This window comes from Homo sapiens, chromosome 5 (assembly GCF_000001405.40).
Source record: "Homo sapiens chromosome 5, GRCh38.p14 Primary Assembly".
Taxonomy (NCBI): Eukaryota; Metazoa; Chordata; class Mammalia; order Primates; family Hominidae; genus Homo; species Homo sapiens.
Window position 1 is genome coordinate 54,178,396 of NC_000005.10, and position 17,733 is coordinate 54,196,128.

The window sequence follows — 17,733 nt, forward strand, 5'->3', positions numbered from 1 at the left end:
TTCCCTTCTCATTTCAATACTGGTCTCGCCAGACAGAAACACAAGGTCTCCTATGACAGCTCACCAGGTCTTTTTCTATGTGGCCCAAGGGTGAGGCCAAGGACCACACTCGATAAATACTTTTTAGATTAACGAAACATCCATGAGTTAGTACCTAAAGGGAAGAGAAAAGTCACCCATAACTTTAAGTGGATATATTTCTTACATAGTTGGCTTCCAAACCAAAAAGAGGCAGCTATTCATTCTGACCCTTCTCCAACTCTCATAATGAAGAAAAAAAGAAGCTTCTAAAAAGAAGTCAATTTCTAGAAGTGTTTTCTAACACTAAGCGTTGCTCAATGAGTAAAACATTAAGAAGTGCTTAAATATGTAAAATGACTTGATTTAGAACAAAATATTTTCCAGGTCTGTAACAGTCAGTTATGGCTCTGTCTTTTGAAAATGTAAACCCAGTACAAAATACAACACATTACAAAATGTGTTACGGGATTTGTCAGAGCTGCTTGAGCTCTGTAGGAGACATTGGGAGGGGCGGGTGTCCTAGTAAATTAAAAATAAAACTGTATTGAACAGCAGATATAAGTGACTTATGGGTATTAATTCATCTATTCCCTAGAAAAGTACCATATGATTTCAATTTAAAGAGGAGGAAACTGAGGCTCAAAGAAGTTAAGTAACTTGCCTACGTGGAACAGGATTCAAACCCTGGCAGTCTGGCTCCTGAGCTGTTTTCCAAACTTCTGCAATGATAAGCCTCTAATTTCTGAGGGCGTGTCATTCAAAGGAAACTTTAGATCCATTCTGTGTTGATAGAGGGCAACAAAGAGATAAGAAAATGTACCCGAGAGCTATTAAGTGGCAGAGCTGGGGTTCGAGCCAGGGTTATTCCACTCCAGAGCCCTAGTTCATGCCCTCAAGTCAGGGATCAGAGCATCAGAAGTGGGGTGTTCTGTTCTTTTGAGGAGGTGAAAGAGTGCTTTAAGTAAGTTTGCCTTTGTAACTGAAGAGAAAAACACCGGGCAAAGGAAGGCGAAGATACAAGTCTTTGTATTGCTTCTTTACTTGTACCAGCAGGTTTATGGCCAAAGTATCTCTCATTCCAGGCAAAAGGGACCTGCAGCTCTCTTGGAGTTAGAGAAGTTGGGTGAGAAATAGCATCCTTAAGATTCTTGCCCTGCTGAATTAGAGAGCAGGGGAGGAGGAGGAGAGGAGATTGACTGGGATGGAAGAAAAGGGGATACCAAAGTGCTGCTGGCTTCTCTCTTTCACACTGTTTGCTTCTTTCATTTAACCCTTTTTTGTCCTCTGGAAAGGATAAAACTTATGTATTAAGAGAAGCCAGCCAGGTGCAGTGACTCACACCTGTAATCCCTGCACTTTGGGAGGCCGAGGTAGGGGGATCATTTGAGGTCAGGAGTTCGAGACCAGCCTGGCCAACGTGGTGAGACCCCGTCTCTACTAAAAATACAAAAATTAGCCAGGTGTAGTGGTGTGTGCCCGTAGTCCCAGCTACTCAGGAGGCCGAGGCAGGAGAATCGCTTAAACCTGGGGGACTGAGGTTGCAGTGAGCTGAGATCGCGCCACTGCTCTCCAGCCTGGGTGACACAGCGAGACTGTCTCGAGAAAAAAAAAAAAAAAAAAAGAGAAGCCCATGTGAGCTGCAGAGATTTCCAACCCTAAGCACAGCAGTAAGGAAAAAAATCTCTTTTGAAACAGCCTCAAATTATATGTATATATAAATTATACCTTAAAATATATGTGTATGTAAATTATATCTCAATAAAGTAAAATAAATAAGCAAATACTAAATAAAATATGTTGGAGGAGAGTATAGGAGGAAATATATGAATAAACTGGGTTGTGCAGAAAGGCATGTGAAGGAGAAGGTCTATAATGAGCATGCGATCTCTTAGCTAATCCTATCTTTCTAGTTGTAAGAAGAGAAACAAAAATCAAATATGCTTCGATGTCTTAGGGTGACTAGTGGTTCTTGCAAACAAGTTCAAAATGGCATCTATAGCAAGAAAAATAACAAACAGGGCAAAGGAGTGCTGTGAAGAGGCCCCTGGCTGCCAGACACAGCCCAGCTGAAGACTTCTCCACGTTCCAAGAGCAACCTATGTTTTGAGGTGGAAATCCTGTCATCCTTTAAGACCCTAGTGGGAAAAAAACAACAAATTGTTTTTATAGAAGGTGGGTCAAACCTTTCAGCCATGTGGGCTGCTGGGAGCACACAGATGAAGGCTTTGGACTGGAATTGTCCCAGGGCTGAGGCTTCTGGCCAATACATCACACTGCCTCAGGACACTAAATCTGTCTTTGCCTTACCCTTTGTATTTCTCAATCCACATTCCTTTTTGGGGTGAAATACTCCATTATTTCTGCTTTGTTCTGGGCTGTCTCCTGTCTCTGTCCCTATTAACTCGTGGCAACAAAAGAAACAAACAGAAGCAGGGGATTTCATGCTTAGCAGCTATAGACATTGGCCTCACGGCTTTGCAGAGGGGCAGACATCTGAGACTTTGAATGGAAGAGAGTGCTGCTGCGCTGAACCAGACCCGGGGCCCACGTGGCTCCCAGTCTGCATCAGTCATCCCCGATCAGTGGCTTTCAAGAGTCTCGGTATGTGGAATTCAAGATGAACCAAAAGTGAGATTTTAAAAGTTAGGGCATGTATCTGATGATTAGATTTAAAGAAATGAATTCAAGATTCTCATATAATTCCCAGCTATGCATAATTTCACATCTTCTCACATTGGAAATAGATCAGAGGAATAGGATTTTTTTCTTTTACTAGGAAAGAAAACTAAGTAAAAAAATAAATGTTTCTTTTAAAAAAATCTAATTCTTACATTGTAATGGCTTGAAGGGAAAAAATCAATTTTTATAAAAACAGAATTATGCAATAAAACCAGCAATAAAATACCCAGGCATAAATGTCTGTAACGAGACCTAACCTTTATATGCCATATTCATAAACATCTCCAAATCAGGGCCTCATCTAGGTCAGTTTCAGACCATGTACTATTTTTTTCCTAAAGAGCAAAGTAATACAATTTAAAGGAAAGTGAATGAGAAACTAATGCATTTTACAGCAAATCTCTTTTTTTGCTGATTACCTGAACAGAACATTTCTAAACAGGAAGTAGGCCATAAAAATACACAAACACTTTTAACATTCCTTACCAAGGGCATTTTCTATATTTTAAAGACTTAAGAAGGGTCAGGACATGAAAACATTTAAAAGGAGCTAGGTGGTCGGGCACAGTCGCTCATGCTGGTAATCCCAGCACTTTAGGAGGTCAACGGAGGAGGATCACTTGAGGCTAGGAGTTTGAAACCATCCTGATGAACATAGCGAGACCCCATCTCTTCAAAAGAAAAATTTATTTCTCCACATCCTCTCCAGCACCTGTTGTTTCCTGACTTTTTAATGATTGCCATTCTAACTGGTGTGAGATGATATCTCATAGTGGTTTTGATTTGCATTTCTCTGATGGCCAGTGATGATGAGCATTTTTTCATGTATTTTTTGGCTGCATAAATGTCTTCTTTTGAGAAGTGTCTGTTCATGTCCTTCGCCCACTTTTTGATGGGGTTGTTTGTTTTTTCTTGTAAATTTGTTTGAGTTCATTGTAGATTCTGGATATTAGCCCTTTGTCAGATGAGTAGGTTGCGAAAATTTTCTCCCATGTTGTAGGTTGCCTGTTCACTCTGATGGTAGTTTCTTTTGCTGTGCAGAAGCTCTTTAGTTTAATTAGATCCCATTTGTCAATTTTGGCTTTTGTTGCCATTGCTTTTGGTGTTTTGGACATGAAGTCCTTGCCCACGCCTATGTCCTGAATGGTAATGCCTAGGTTTTCTTCTAGGGTTTTTATGGTTTTAGGTCTAACGTTTAAATCTTTAATCCATCTTGAATTGATTTTTGTATAAGGTGTAAGGAAGGGATCCAGTTTCAGCTTTCTACATATGGCTAGCCAGTTTTCCCAGCACCATTTATTAAATAGGGAATCCTTTCCCCATTGCCTGTTTTTCTCAGGTTTGTCAAAGATCAGATAGTTGTAGGTATGCGGCGTTATTTCTGAGGGCTTTGTTCTGTTCCATTGATCTATATCTCTGTTTTGGTACCAGTACCATGCTGTTTTGGTTACTGTAGCCTTGTAGTATAGTTTGAAGTCAGGTAGTGTGATGCCTCCAGCTTTGTTCTTTTGGCTTAGGATTGACTTGGCGATGCGGGCTCTTTTTTGGTTCCATATGAACTTTAAAGTAGTTTTTTCCAATTCTGTGAAGAAAGTCTTTGGTAGCTTGATGGGGATGGCATTGAATCTATAAATTACCTTGGGCAGTATGGCTATTTTCATGATATTGATTCTTCCTACCCATGAGCATGGAATGTTCTTCCATTTGTTTGTATCTTCTTTTATTTCCTTGAGCAGTGGTTTGTAGTTCTCCTTGAAGAGGTCCTTCACGTCCCTTGTAAGGTGGATTCCTAGGTATTTTATTCTCTTTGAAGCAATTGTGAATGGGAGTTCACTCATGATTTGGCTCTCTGTTTGTCTGTTATTGGTGTATAAGAATGCTTGTGATTTTTGTACATTGATTTTGTATCCTGAGACTTTGGTGAAGTTGCTTATCAGCTTAAGGAGATTTTGGGCTGAGACGATGGGGTTTTCTAGATAAACAATCCTGTCGTCTGCAAACAGGGACAATTTGACTTCCTCTTTTCCTAATTGAATACCCGTTATTTCCTTCTCCTGCCTTATTGCCCCAGCCAGAACTTCCAACACTATGTTGAATAGGAGCGGTGAGAGAGGGTATCCCTGTCTTGTGCCAGTTTTCAAAGGGAATGCTTCCAGTTTTTGCCCATTCAGTATGATATTGGCTGTGGGTTTGTCATAGATAGCTCTTATTATTTTGAAATACGTCCCATCAATACCTAATTTATTGAGAGTCTTTAGCATGAAGGGTTGTTGAATTTTGTCAAAGGCTTTTTCTGCATCTATTGAGATAATCATGTGGTTTTTGTCTTTGGCTCTGTTTATATGCTGGATTACATTTATTGATTTGCGTATATTGAACCAGCCTTGCATCCCAGGGATGAAGCCCACTTGATCATGGTGGATAAGCTTTTTGATGTGCTGCTGGATTCGGTTTGCCAGTATTTTATTGAGGATTTTTGCATCAATGTTCATCAAGGATATTGGTCTAAAATTCTCGTTTTTGTGGAGAAATAGGAACACTCTTACACTGTTGGTGGGACTGTAAACTAGTTCAACCATTGTGGAAGTCAGTGTGGCGATACCTCAGGGATCTAGAACTAGAAATACCATTTGACCCAGCCATCCCATTACTGGGTATATACCCAAATGACTATAAATCATGCTGCTATAAAAACACATGCACACGTATGTTTATTGCGGCATTATTCACAATAGCAAAGACTTGGAACCAACCCAAATGTCCAACAATGATAGACTGGATTAAGAAAATATGGCACATATACACCATGGAATACTATGCAGCCATAAAAAATGATGAGTTCATGTCCTTTGTAGGGACATGGATGAAATTGGAAACCATCATTCTCAGTAAACTATCGCAAGAACAAAAAACCAAACACCGCATATTCTCACTCATAGGTGGGAATTAACAATGAGATCACATGGACACAGGAAGGGGAATATCACACTCTGGGGACTGTGGTGGGGTGGGGGGAGGGGGGAGGGATAGCATTGGGAGATATACCTAATGCTAAATGACGAATTAATGGGTGCAGCACACCAGCATGGCACATGTATACATATGTAACTAACCTGCACAATGTGCACATGTACCCTAAAACTTAAAGTATAATAAAAAAAAAATCAAAAAAAAAAAAAAAAAAGAAAAATTTAAAAATTAGCCAGGTGTGATGGTGTGCGCCTGTAGTCCCAGGTCCTGGGGAGGGTGAGGCAGGAGGATTGCTTGAGCCCAGGAGTTCAAGGCTGCAGTGAGCTATGACTGTGCCACTGCACTCCAGCCTAGGCAACAGTAACACTGTCTTTAAAAAAAAAAAAAAAAAAAAAAAAAAAAAAAGAGAGAGAGAGAGACTAGGTTCCACAAGTAGACCTTCAAATGGATTTAAATATCACCACAAAAATCCCTAGGAGGAAAGATCTCAATAAAGTAGATTCTTTCCATTCACTGTGCTTTTGGAACTGAAGCTAGAAAGGCTTATAACAAAAAAAAAAAAAAAAAAAGGAAAACAAACCAAAATTGTTTTTCTTGTAGTCCCTAAAAGTGGAAATCCTATTCTATTCTTCACTTAACAATCTTTTAGGCTCCATAAAGATGGAGCTCAGTCCCATATATTCTACTAGTCACCAATTCCTATGAATCTGTCCAACTTTGCCTCTACTATTTCCCTGTTCCTCCTGGATCCCAGTGCCTTTCTTTGTTCAGGACATCACCACAGTCCTTTGGATAACCACACTATCTTTTCTCCTAACTGGTGTCATTAGTTCAGGTCTTATCCTACTCCAATTCAGTCTCCAGAATACCATGTTTTTCCCGTGATTTAAAATCTTTCTATAGCTACCCACAGCTGTCAGGATAAAGTACAGACTCCTTATCTGGGCAGACAAGGAGCTTTATGATCTGACCTTTGCCTTCATTTCTGGCATCCAATAGTTGTTATGGGGACCACAGGAAATAACGTCTATAACAGCTAAAACATGGTTTGACACACAAAACTTAATTGATAATAATATTAATTATTATTTTTCCCACCAAATACATGGCCCTCAAGGCAATCCTATGCACCTCCATGCAGTTTCTGATCCATTCTCTTTCCGGCTCCATGTCAGTAAAGGGGCTGACCCTCTGCCTACACATCCTTCCTCACTATTTTCCTCTGGCTGGCTCTTAGTTACCCTTCAAAATTCAGCTCAATGATCATTTCTTTCAAGACAACTTCTGTGACCCTCACTCTGATTTAGATGACCTTCTCCAAACTCCCTGAGTATCTTTTCTATTTCACTGTCATAACACTCATCATTCTGTCAAGTACAGTTGATTTGCCATCCATCTTCCCCCACTGGACTTAGAGCACTTGAATGCAGGCACTACTTTTAATTCAACTTTGGAACATGAGTGTCTGACCAAGCCACATGGCCAGATGTGCTCCCCAGTGATGTGCGTGGCTATGATTAAAAGCATGGTTAGACAAGCCTGAAATCAAACCCTATGGCAATCAGGACAAGTTACTTCACTGATAGCTAATCTAGAAAATAGGGATCATCTCACAGGATTGCTGGGAGTAGCAAATAAGGTACTATATACAAAATGCTCAGCACAGTACTCAATAATCAATAGGTGTTATTATCATCATGAGTGCTAATATTAGATTTTTCAGTTACAATAGTGTTTTCCCAAAGAAAACTTATTTTTATGACCACACATCAGGATTCTTCTCATAGTAGATAATTAAAGATAATTCAGGGTTTAGGCTTATTTTAACACCAATTTGGTCAAAGATCTGATATGATATGCCAAATCCCAATGGTGGCTAATGACACAGAGGCAGTCCATTTGGTTTGCAATAATAACAACAATTAAAAGCTCGTAGTATGACATATAGTGGGACAATCGTTGGATTATTTTCTTCCCCTAAAGGTGAAGAAAACCCCTAAAAACACACTTTCAAGAATTACTGGTCTATTCTAACAGTTAAATCGACTCTTTTTGAATATAAATTTCTATGTAGACCTAGACAAAAGCATAACAGAGCAGAAGTGTCCGTAATCCCTGTACATCCTCAAATCACACTGCTTTAACTGCTGACAAAGACAAATGTTTACTATGGTCTAGCGCGGAGAAGCCAATACGGTGAGCAAAATGCTATCTCGCCTCACACATCAACACACGTGCCAGACAGATTCTGACTGCAAAGTCTGTTATTGGTGATGAGAGAGGCAGAGAGGGCACAGCTGGATATTTCAGATCCACAGCTGAGCTGGCAGCAGTGGGAGTTCAAGCCATCTTCTCACTTTAAAAGCTGGAATGAATCTGTGAGAGTTATTTAAAGGTGTGCTTTATTAAAGAGGCACTTTCTGACTACTGTCAAACTTCACGAGCAAAAGCTGAACACACAGATAAAGGCAGATCTATGTGGGGTCACCTATCAGATGTCAGCTGATCTCTTTCAGCACCCACAAATCACTTATTGAAAATTAAATACCAAAAAAAATTTTCCTTCAAGATTAAATGTAGCATGTGGACTTAATTTATATTACTAATCCTTTTAGTATTTGCTTTATATTATTCCCTGAAATTAGTACAGGCACAAATGCCTTAAATTATGTTTCTTGAATTTATAGCCCAAATTACATAGATTATACAAGTACCATATACAGATTCATGAAGATATTAGAGAGGCTCCATGGGCCTTATACATTTAACTAGAGCTTTACTAGAATAAAGTCTCAGTAGCATCGACTTTTTTTTTTTTTTTTTGTCAAACAAAGCACTCACTCTATCAAAGGAGTTCTTAAACTACCAGGAAAATAAGATTCTTGAACATCCCAAGTGTTTCTTAAAAAGGGATGTCCTCATTTTCCTTTTGTACAAAACAGGGTTCAGATTGCAAATAACAGAAAAGCAATTCATTGGAAGGATACTGATAATTCACAGAATTGATGAGAAGGCTAAAGAACAGCAAGAACTAAGGCAGCCCAAGGTAACACTATTATAAGTTTAGGAGTTGCCACTTATGCTAACTGCTTGCCACCCTGCACCAAACTCCACTGCAGCCACGAGAATGACATCAGAAGGCTCCAACCCCGGGCATTGTGCCACTGAGCTGGAGAATCTAACCAGCCAAACCTTGCTGGCTCTCATGCTGGGGCCCTGGCTACCAGGTTGTTGAGGAAAAAATTGCTGCCCCCTACCATCAGCAATGGAAGGAGGGAACCCTGTCTCCAAGTTCTTGTGGGATTTTCTCCTAAGCAGGGCAGCCAAAACCAGTATCAACTATACATTTGGTCCACTGGCCCAACAGACAGCAGAACTTATCTAGTACTACAATTGAAGGACATAAAACAGAACATATTTATTCATCTTCCAATTCCACAGACTGATTCTGACTGAATGTGCCAGAGTCTTGGGAATGGCTAAGAGTCAGTCTGAACCAAGGCAGGTGACAGGATGAGGGCTGGTAGAAACCCTGGAGTGAATTTTCCTGAGCAAACATGTTTTGCCCTCTTAGTGTCCCACTTGTTATTTAATACTCAGCTCTCCTATTCTACATGTATTCCCTTCTCCCTTTCTATTTTCCTACTGATACATTATTACATGTAAGAAGATGAGGCTGGCTGTGAATGTAGAGGAAGCAAATGCCTGGCAGTTCTTATGTTCATACTTGCATATTTTTGCTTTCCTTTCACCTTCAATGTCTTATGGGGAGAAAATGGGACAGGACATACTTGAAGCCATGTGTAGCACCTAGCTTTTGTTAAACACAAAAACTCCATGGGACAGTCTGGGCTATTGTTTGTCACTAGCAGTGTAGATAGACAGAAACTCCTTAAGGATGTGTGACTAGCCATTCTTTTCTTTCTTTCTTTTTTAAATAAAAACATTCTGGTTTTTGACATGTTTGTCTAAGTAAGGTACAATCCCTCAAGTCTCCCTTTTCCAATTTGCATATCACACCATAATTGTGAAGCAACTGTTACAACAAGAATAAAAAAAACTACTCATCTGGAACATGCAACAAAAAATGGAGCAATCATATTTATGGTTAGCAATAAATAAATAAAGGTCCTTGGCTAACAAACTCAGCTTTCCCAAAAGGAAAAAAACCTGAAGGCTCACAGTAAACTATCATGTTAAGAAAAAGCAGTGGGGGAATGGGAGTGGGAGGGAAAGGATTAGGTAAAGGCATGTATTTTATAGAAAAGGACATTAGGCCTCATTTGCTTGGTGAATCTGTGGAAATAATTTATGATATTCTATACAAGGAATTATGACTCCATCCTGAACAGACTGCTTATCTCCCCATGGCTCTTCACAAGCAAGAAAGGGCATGCTCATGACTCTTTGACTTTAGTGTTAACATTGATTTTATAATTACAATAATATTGGATACCAAGGTCCTCAAGGGAATTAGACATGGACAGTATTTGCCAGAGATAAAATATTCATCACCAACAGAGTATATAAAATGTATCTGAGAGGATCAGGGCTCACTTGGGACCCACACAAGAGGAATAAGACATCACCAGAAAAATGCAAGAATTCTCTGATATGTAAAAATCTGAAACAAAGAATGTCAGTCTTAACAAATTCTGCACATATTAAAATAAGACCTCATTGTCACATAATCTGGGGGCATTCCAGTAGGGCAGAGAATAAAAAATTGACCTGAAATTTTCTTAGAGGGCTTCCAAAGCAAATACATAACAAGGCCCACAGCTCTCTTTTTAATCCTATTAATTTTAAATTTCTTACAAATCACAAACTTCTCTTTGCCTAAGGTTTACGTCTCAAGCTAACCATTTTTTTTGTGCAATCTTTAGGGTTTTCTACATACAGGTTCATGTCACTGGCAAAGTCAATGTGCAAAAATCAGTTGCATGTCTGTACACTAATAATTAACAACCTGAAAAGGAAATTATGAAAATAATTCCATTTATAATAGCACGTAAAAGAATAAGACACTTAAGAACTAACTTAACCAAGGAGGTGAAAAGCTTGTACAATAAAAGCCACAAAACATTGCTGAAAGAAATTAAAGAAGATACAAATAAATGGAAACACATCCCATGTTCATGGACAAAAGACAATAATGTTAATCTGTCAACACTACCCAAATGGATTCAATGCAATCCTATCAAAATCTAAATAATTTTTTTATGGAAATAAAAAAGCCCATCCTAAAATTCATATAGAATCACAAATGACAAAACAATCTTGAAAACAAAGAACAAAGCTGGAGCTCCAGACTTACACATACAGATTTCAAAACAAACGTCCGGTAATCAAAAGAACATGTTATTAGCATAAACACAGACATATAGACCAATGAAATAGAATAGAGATCCCCAAAATAAACCTTTGCATATGTGGTCAAATGATTTTGGGCAAGGGTGAAAAGATCATTCAGTGGGAAAGAACAGTCTTTTCAACAGATGGTGCTAGGAAAACTGGATATGCACACACAAAAGAATAAAGTTGTACCCTTACCTAATGCCATATACAAAAGTTAACTCCAAATGAATAAAAGCTTTAAATGTAAGACCTAAAAGTATAAAAAACATAGAAACATAGAAAGTTTTTTCTTAGAAAAAAACACAGGGCAAATGCTTCATGACATTGAATTTGGCAATAATTTGTTGGACATGATACCACAGACACAGATGAAAAAAGAAACAATAGGCAAATTGAACTTTATCAAAACTAAAACATTTGGTACAACAAAAGAAAATGTCAATAGTGTAAAAAGTTAGTCCATAGAATGGGAAAAAATATTTTTAAATCATATCTCTAATAAGAGATCAATGTCTGGAATATGTAGACAACTCCTAAAACTGAACAATAAAAAAACTGTTCAAAAATGGACAAAGAATTTGAAAAGACATTCCTCCAAAGAAGATATACAAAAGGCTAATTAAGTACATGAAAAGATGCTCAATATCACTAATCATCAGGAAAATACAAATCAAAACTACAGTGAGGGCTAGGTGTGGTGGCTCACGCCTGTAATTCCAGCACTTTGGGAGTCAAGGCAGGTGGATCACTTGAGGTCAGGAGTTCGAGACCAGCCTGGCCAACACGGTGAAACCCCGTTTCTACTAAAGATACAAAAAAATTAGCCAGGTGTGGTGGTATACACCTGTAATCTCAGCTACTCAGGAGGCTGAGGCAGAAGAATTGCTTGAACCCAGGAGGTGGAGGTTGCAGTGAGCCAAGATCACCCCACTGCACTCCAGCCTAGGTGATAGAATGAGACGTTGTCTCAAAAAAAAAAAAAAAATTACAGTGAGATATCATTAGGATGGCCACTGTCTTAGACTGTTCCTGTTGCTCCAACAAAATACGTAATTTACAAAGAACAGAAGTTCATTTTCTCACAGTTCTGGAGGCTGGAAAGTCCAGGATCAAAGCACTGGCATTTTGTGTCTGGTGAGGGCCTTCTGCTACATCTTCACATGGCAGAAGACAGAAGGATGAAAAGGGCCTAGCTAGTTTCCTGGAAGCATTGGATAAAGGTATTAATCCCATTCATAAGGCCATAGCCCCCAGACTTAATAACCTCCTGAAGGCCTCACCTTTTAATACCATCACATTGGGTCTTAGGTTCCATCATATGAATTTTGGGGAGGACATGCACATTCAAACCATAACAGCTACTATCAGAATAATGGAAAATAACAAGTGTTGGCAAGGATATGGAGAAATTAGAACCCTTGTACACTGTTGGGAAGAATGTAAAATGATATAGCCACTGTGAAAAACAATATGGCAGTACCTCAAAAAATTAAAAATAGAATTATCATCTGATCCAATAATGCCATGTCTGGATATATACTCAAAAGAACTGAAAGCAGGATCTGGAAGAGTTGTTTGTACACTCATGTTCATAGCAACATCACTCATAACAGCTAAAGCATAGAAGTACCCCATATGTCCATCAACAAATGAATGGATAAGCAAAATGTGATATATACATATAATCGATTACTATTTAGCTATAAAAAGGAAGGAAGTTGTGACATATGTTACAGCATGTTTCAACCCTGAGGACATAAGACTAAGTTAAATAAGCCAGCCAGCCGTAAAAAAGACAAACACAGTTTGACTCTACTTATATAAGATAGAATTAGTCAAAGTCATAAAGACCAAATGTAGAATGGTAGTTACCAGGAAATAAGGAGGGGGATACAGGCAGTTATTGTTCAATGGGTATAGAATTTCAGTGTTACAAGATGAATAAGAGTTATGAAGATGTATGCTGGTGATGGTGGGGATATAACATTATAAATGCATTTAATACCACTGAGCTGCATACTTAAAAATAGTTAAGATGGTGAATTTTATATGTATTTTACAAAAATAAAAAAAAATTTTGAAAAAAAATCCCACAATTTATAACTCATCCCAAACCTATTCCTCCTGAAACTTTCCTCCTTAGTTAACAACAGCTCCATTTTTTCAGTTGCTCAGGCCAAAAACTCTAGAATAATCCTTGGCACCCCTTTTTCTCTCAAACCACACATCCAATCAATCAGAAAATTCTGTCAGCAATAGCTTCAATATATATACAGACTCCAACTACTTCTCACCACCTCTACCCTTACCACCCCAATCTCTTGCTTTGATTATTCCAAAAGCCTCACACTGGCTCCCTGCTTTCACTCAAACCTCCGTATAGTCTATTTACAGCACAGTAGCCAGAGTGATCCTGTTAACATATGTCAGATCAAGTCTCTTTTCCACTCAAAATACTCCAAAGGCTCCCATCTCACTCAGGCTAAAAATTAAAGCCCTTATAGCAGACTAAAAGGTCCTATAAAATCTGCCTCCTTCCTCCTTCCTCCCCCACTCCTAATTATTTCTATGACAACATCTACTACTATTTCTTCACTCAGTCAGTTACTCCAAGCAACCTGGCCTTCTTGCAGTTCCTGGCCCACGCTTGGTAACATCCAACTTCAGGACCTTTGCACTTGCCATTCCCTCTGCTTAGAAATCTCTTGCCCTAGATATACATATGGTTCATAGTCACTCCTTTATGTTGTTTGGGTCTTTGCTCACATATCACCTTTCAGTAAGACCTGCCCTGATTACTCTTAAAAACTGCACATGTACCCTAAAACTTAAAGTATAAGTAAAAAAAAAAAAGCCAAAAAAATTGCAACCTTTCCCACCACAACATGTTCTAACTACCTTACATGTTTTCCCACAGAACTTACTGTCTTCTTACTTACTCAGTAATTTACTATTTATTTGTTTATTGCCAGTCTCCCCTCACTAGAACATAAGTCCCATGACGGCAAGATTTTTTACAATTGTTTTATTGAATTATTTCCTAACCTTTTATCATTGGACAGAGGTTGATGGAATTCTATATTCTAGCCGCATTTTTCTTGAATGGAAGGAACATGCATCCTTTTAAATCACATCCTATTAAATTTGGCAAATCTTATACTTTTATGTGACTCCTCCTGTGTTTTGTCTTCCTCTAGAATTATAACACTAAGGTCATGCTAATGACAAAGAGTTGGGGTGGGGGGCGGGTCTAGACAGAGTTTTAAAGTTTTCTAATCTTTACAAGAAGACACAAGAGGAGAAACCAGTCAGTCTGTTGAGAGAAAAAACAGAAAACGTAAGTGTCATGAAAGTAAGAAAACTTAAGTGTTTCAAGAGGGAGGAGGTAAGCAACTAAGATGAATGCTTCTGAGTAGTTAGATCAGAACACACAGATAACCATTGTATCTGGAAATATGGAGGATATTGGTGATCTTCACAAGCACCATCTTACTGGGGTGGTGAAGACAGAAATCAAGAGTATGTATGTAGGTCCAGTGACACTTTTCATTTGACATGTTTCACGTAGGACATTCCTTCCATTCCCATGGCTTCTACTATTTTGATGGCTTCTGAATCCCATATCTGCTTCAACGTCCTGCTCTGGAGAGCCAAACTAGAGTTTTTAAACTTCCTGTTAAACATCTCTATCTAGATCTCCCTTAAGTACTCTCAAACTAATAAAAATCCAATTTCAGTATCAATCCTACCACCCACAAAAGAAACTTGTTCCTTCTTTCTATATTTCCTATTTCAGTAAATTGCAGCATCATCCAATCCATCATCCAAAGCTTATCCTCAATCCTGTGTCTCTCACAATGTCCAAAATTGATACAAGTCTCTTACTTGTATTGATTTCACCTCTTAAATATTTCTGTAATACTCTAATCCAGGGGTCCTCAACCCCCAGGCAGTGAACCGGTACTGGTCCATGGCCTGTTCGGAACCAGGCCTCACAGCAGGAGGTAAGCAGCAGGTGAGCAAGGGAGCATTGTGGCTTGAGCTCTGCTTCCTATCAGATCAGCTACAGCATTAGATTCTCATAGAAGCGGGAACCCTACTGTGAACTGCACATGTGAAGGATCTAGGTTGCTTATGAGAATCTAATGCCTGATGATGTGAGGTGGAACAGCATCACCCTGAATCCATCCCCTCCACCCCAGTCGATAGAAAAACTGTCTTCCACAAAACTGGTCCCTGGCATCAAAAAGCTTGGGGACCTGTGCTCTAATCTATTCCTATTGTTTTACAATAAAGCCTTCATTTTTTTTTTTTTTTCCAGAACTGTAACTACTTCGACTTATGTACTCTGCCTAGCACATCATAGGTGCTCAATAAATATTTGTTGATTTCCTGAAATAGCTCACATGGCTCTGTTATAAATTGCTCAGATCTAGGTTTATAAAATTAATGCTTTCCCTTAAAAAGCTTGGTTGAATTTTTTTAAAAAACTGAATAATTGGGGGCTAGGATGATATTAAATAATTGGGGGCATGGATGATATTAAATACAGTTATTTAATAACTGTAAATAAAAACATACAAGTTCTGTTGGATGTGGGTGTCCCCTGGGAGACTATGGTAGTGAACACTAAAATCCTAATCGCCATGCATTGGAATTATTCCGACTATTACTTTCTTTAGTTCCTTCTTATCCACCCAGTCTTCTTTGAAAACATGTTTCCCCTTCATAATTTAGCTCTATATTGTCTAAAAGCTATAACTTCAATCAAAGAACTTAAGCATTTTTAAAGCCAACAAAATACATGACATCAATTATTATCAGAGGCATGGACCCACTGCGATGTTCATTTTGAACAAGACGAGATAAGTCATTCCTGGAAGAACATAGGCAAGGATAAAAGATGATTCAAGCCTAATATGCAAGGCTCCTCACCTCTCCATCATTTTTATGAGACCCACAACATAGTCTTAACCCCAATAACCTCCATACGGCCTCACCAAGAAAGGATAGAAAAGACCTCAGAAGTATTTTGGCCCTAAAACATTTTTGAATCAAGCTAGAGAAAGTTATGAAACTCAGTTGTCACACTTGACTTGCATCCAGAAACACAATTCAAATGAAGCATGTAGTCTAAATGGCTGATAGTTTTCAGCTGGCTGTACTTTCCAGCCACCTAATATGAAAAATCTAATCTCACCCTAATAAAAATCTTAGACCTGGCAAAAAAAGAAACATATAGCTTTGTGGTAACGTGAGGAGAGGAGGGAGGTAACAGAAATGGTAGAATGACCTCACAGGGTTTTGACTTTTAAACACTAATATTTATAGATTAAAAACTGTCTGAAAGGTTAAGCTTGGAAAGAATCTACTTCAGATACCTGATACAGCACAGGCACAAAATGAACCATGTTTGATCTAACTTGTACCAAGGGAGAATTTTACCTTTAGCTTTACCAACTTCCCAAGAGGACTTCTAGTCATGCTCCTTCAAATCCCAAAGGCCTGCGTAGTGAGGTATGCCACAAAGAGTAGGGTGTCTCAGTCCTCCTCTACTAGTAGATGGAAGTCACAAGGAGATATCTCGAGACATTCAGGATGTTTATTTACTCAGAAAGTAAATCTACATTCCTTTTGTCCAACAGGCAATATCATTCTTATTTCTCAAGGCCCAAGGTCCATAACTACTTCTCCCCACTTAAGGCTTACACTACATTCTGTACTCTCAAAATACTTAGTTAATGTTGCTAATGTACTATGTACTTCACTATGTACAAGCCAAATTAAGCCACCTGTGGTCAATATATACCTGGGCAGCAAGGCTCAAGATAGATCCTATATTCAGACATCATCAATGAAAATACAGAAAAAAATCAACCCAGACTTTACTGTATTTATCCTTTATTCATTAAGAAACATGCAAAAAGCTCAGGAGAATTTTAAAAGGTTACAAAACATGGTGATGGTTTAAATAGCTACTACAACAACTGAAGGCCCCACAGTCATTTCACAAACTAGAGAAGGAAATAATTTGCTCCTTCCACTAATCTGACAGTTGGCCCAACCTCTGATTTCAGGAGACCTTTTTTCTTTTATCTCTAGTCCACTTATAAGCACATATGAGGACACACACTTAATTTTTCTCTATTTTTTCTCATGTCTAAAGTAATACCTGTAATGAATAAGTTGATCAATCAGAAATGTGTAAAGGAAAAAAGAAATGTCCCTTCATATTCAACCCTCCTAGAGATGATCAGTGCTCAATCCTTCAACTTTTCTATGCATATACTAATATATATATACATCTTTCTCTTTTCTTTTAGTACAAAAATGGAATCATAGTATGCATACAGTTATACAACTAGCTCATTATTTTCCTGACAACTATGTATTAGTCCCATTTTAGGATGAGAAAACAGACCCAAAGAATAGGTGATTTGGCAAAGGTGACTCAGCTAATAAGTGATGGAGTGGGAATCAAGCCCAGAAATCTGGCTGCAGAGTTTCAGTGCTCCCCTTCCAAATAGCAGAAAAGCTGTAGCCCATCTTCTCCTGTGTGCTACCAAGCAAACCTGTGAATATGCTAGGACATATTCATCAAAGCAGAAAAGGATTCTACCTGACTCTTTTTAATGTCAGCATAGAATTCTATTGTATGGCTACCCCAAAATTTATCAGTCTCCATTTGGTGGCTAAATACATGGT

General features: G+C 38.5%; 1 protein-coding gene across 10 annotated transcripts in view, besides 1 other annotated feature; it reads right to left on the reverse strand.

Moving 5' to 3' along the window:
• The window catches only part of ARL15 (ARF like GTPase 15), a 426,632-nt gene that overhangs the window by 294,454 nt on the left and 114,445 nt on the right, over window positions 1-17,733 (reverse strand). The window lies entirely within an intron of this gene.
• Window positions 2,135-2,641: an enhancer, noted in NCBI's record as "NANOG hESC enhancer chr5:53476360-53476866 (GRCh37/hg19 assembly coordinates)". NCBI's record gives its function as "activates a minimal SCP1, AML or CMV promoter by ChIP-STARR-seq in primed H9 embryonic stem cells {active_cell/tissue: H9 hESC(primed)}" and the evidence as "EXISTENCE:reporter gene assay evidence [ECO:0000049][PMID:30033119]".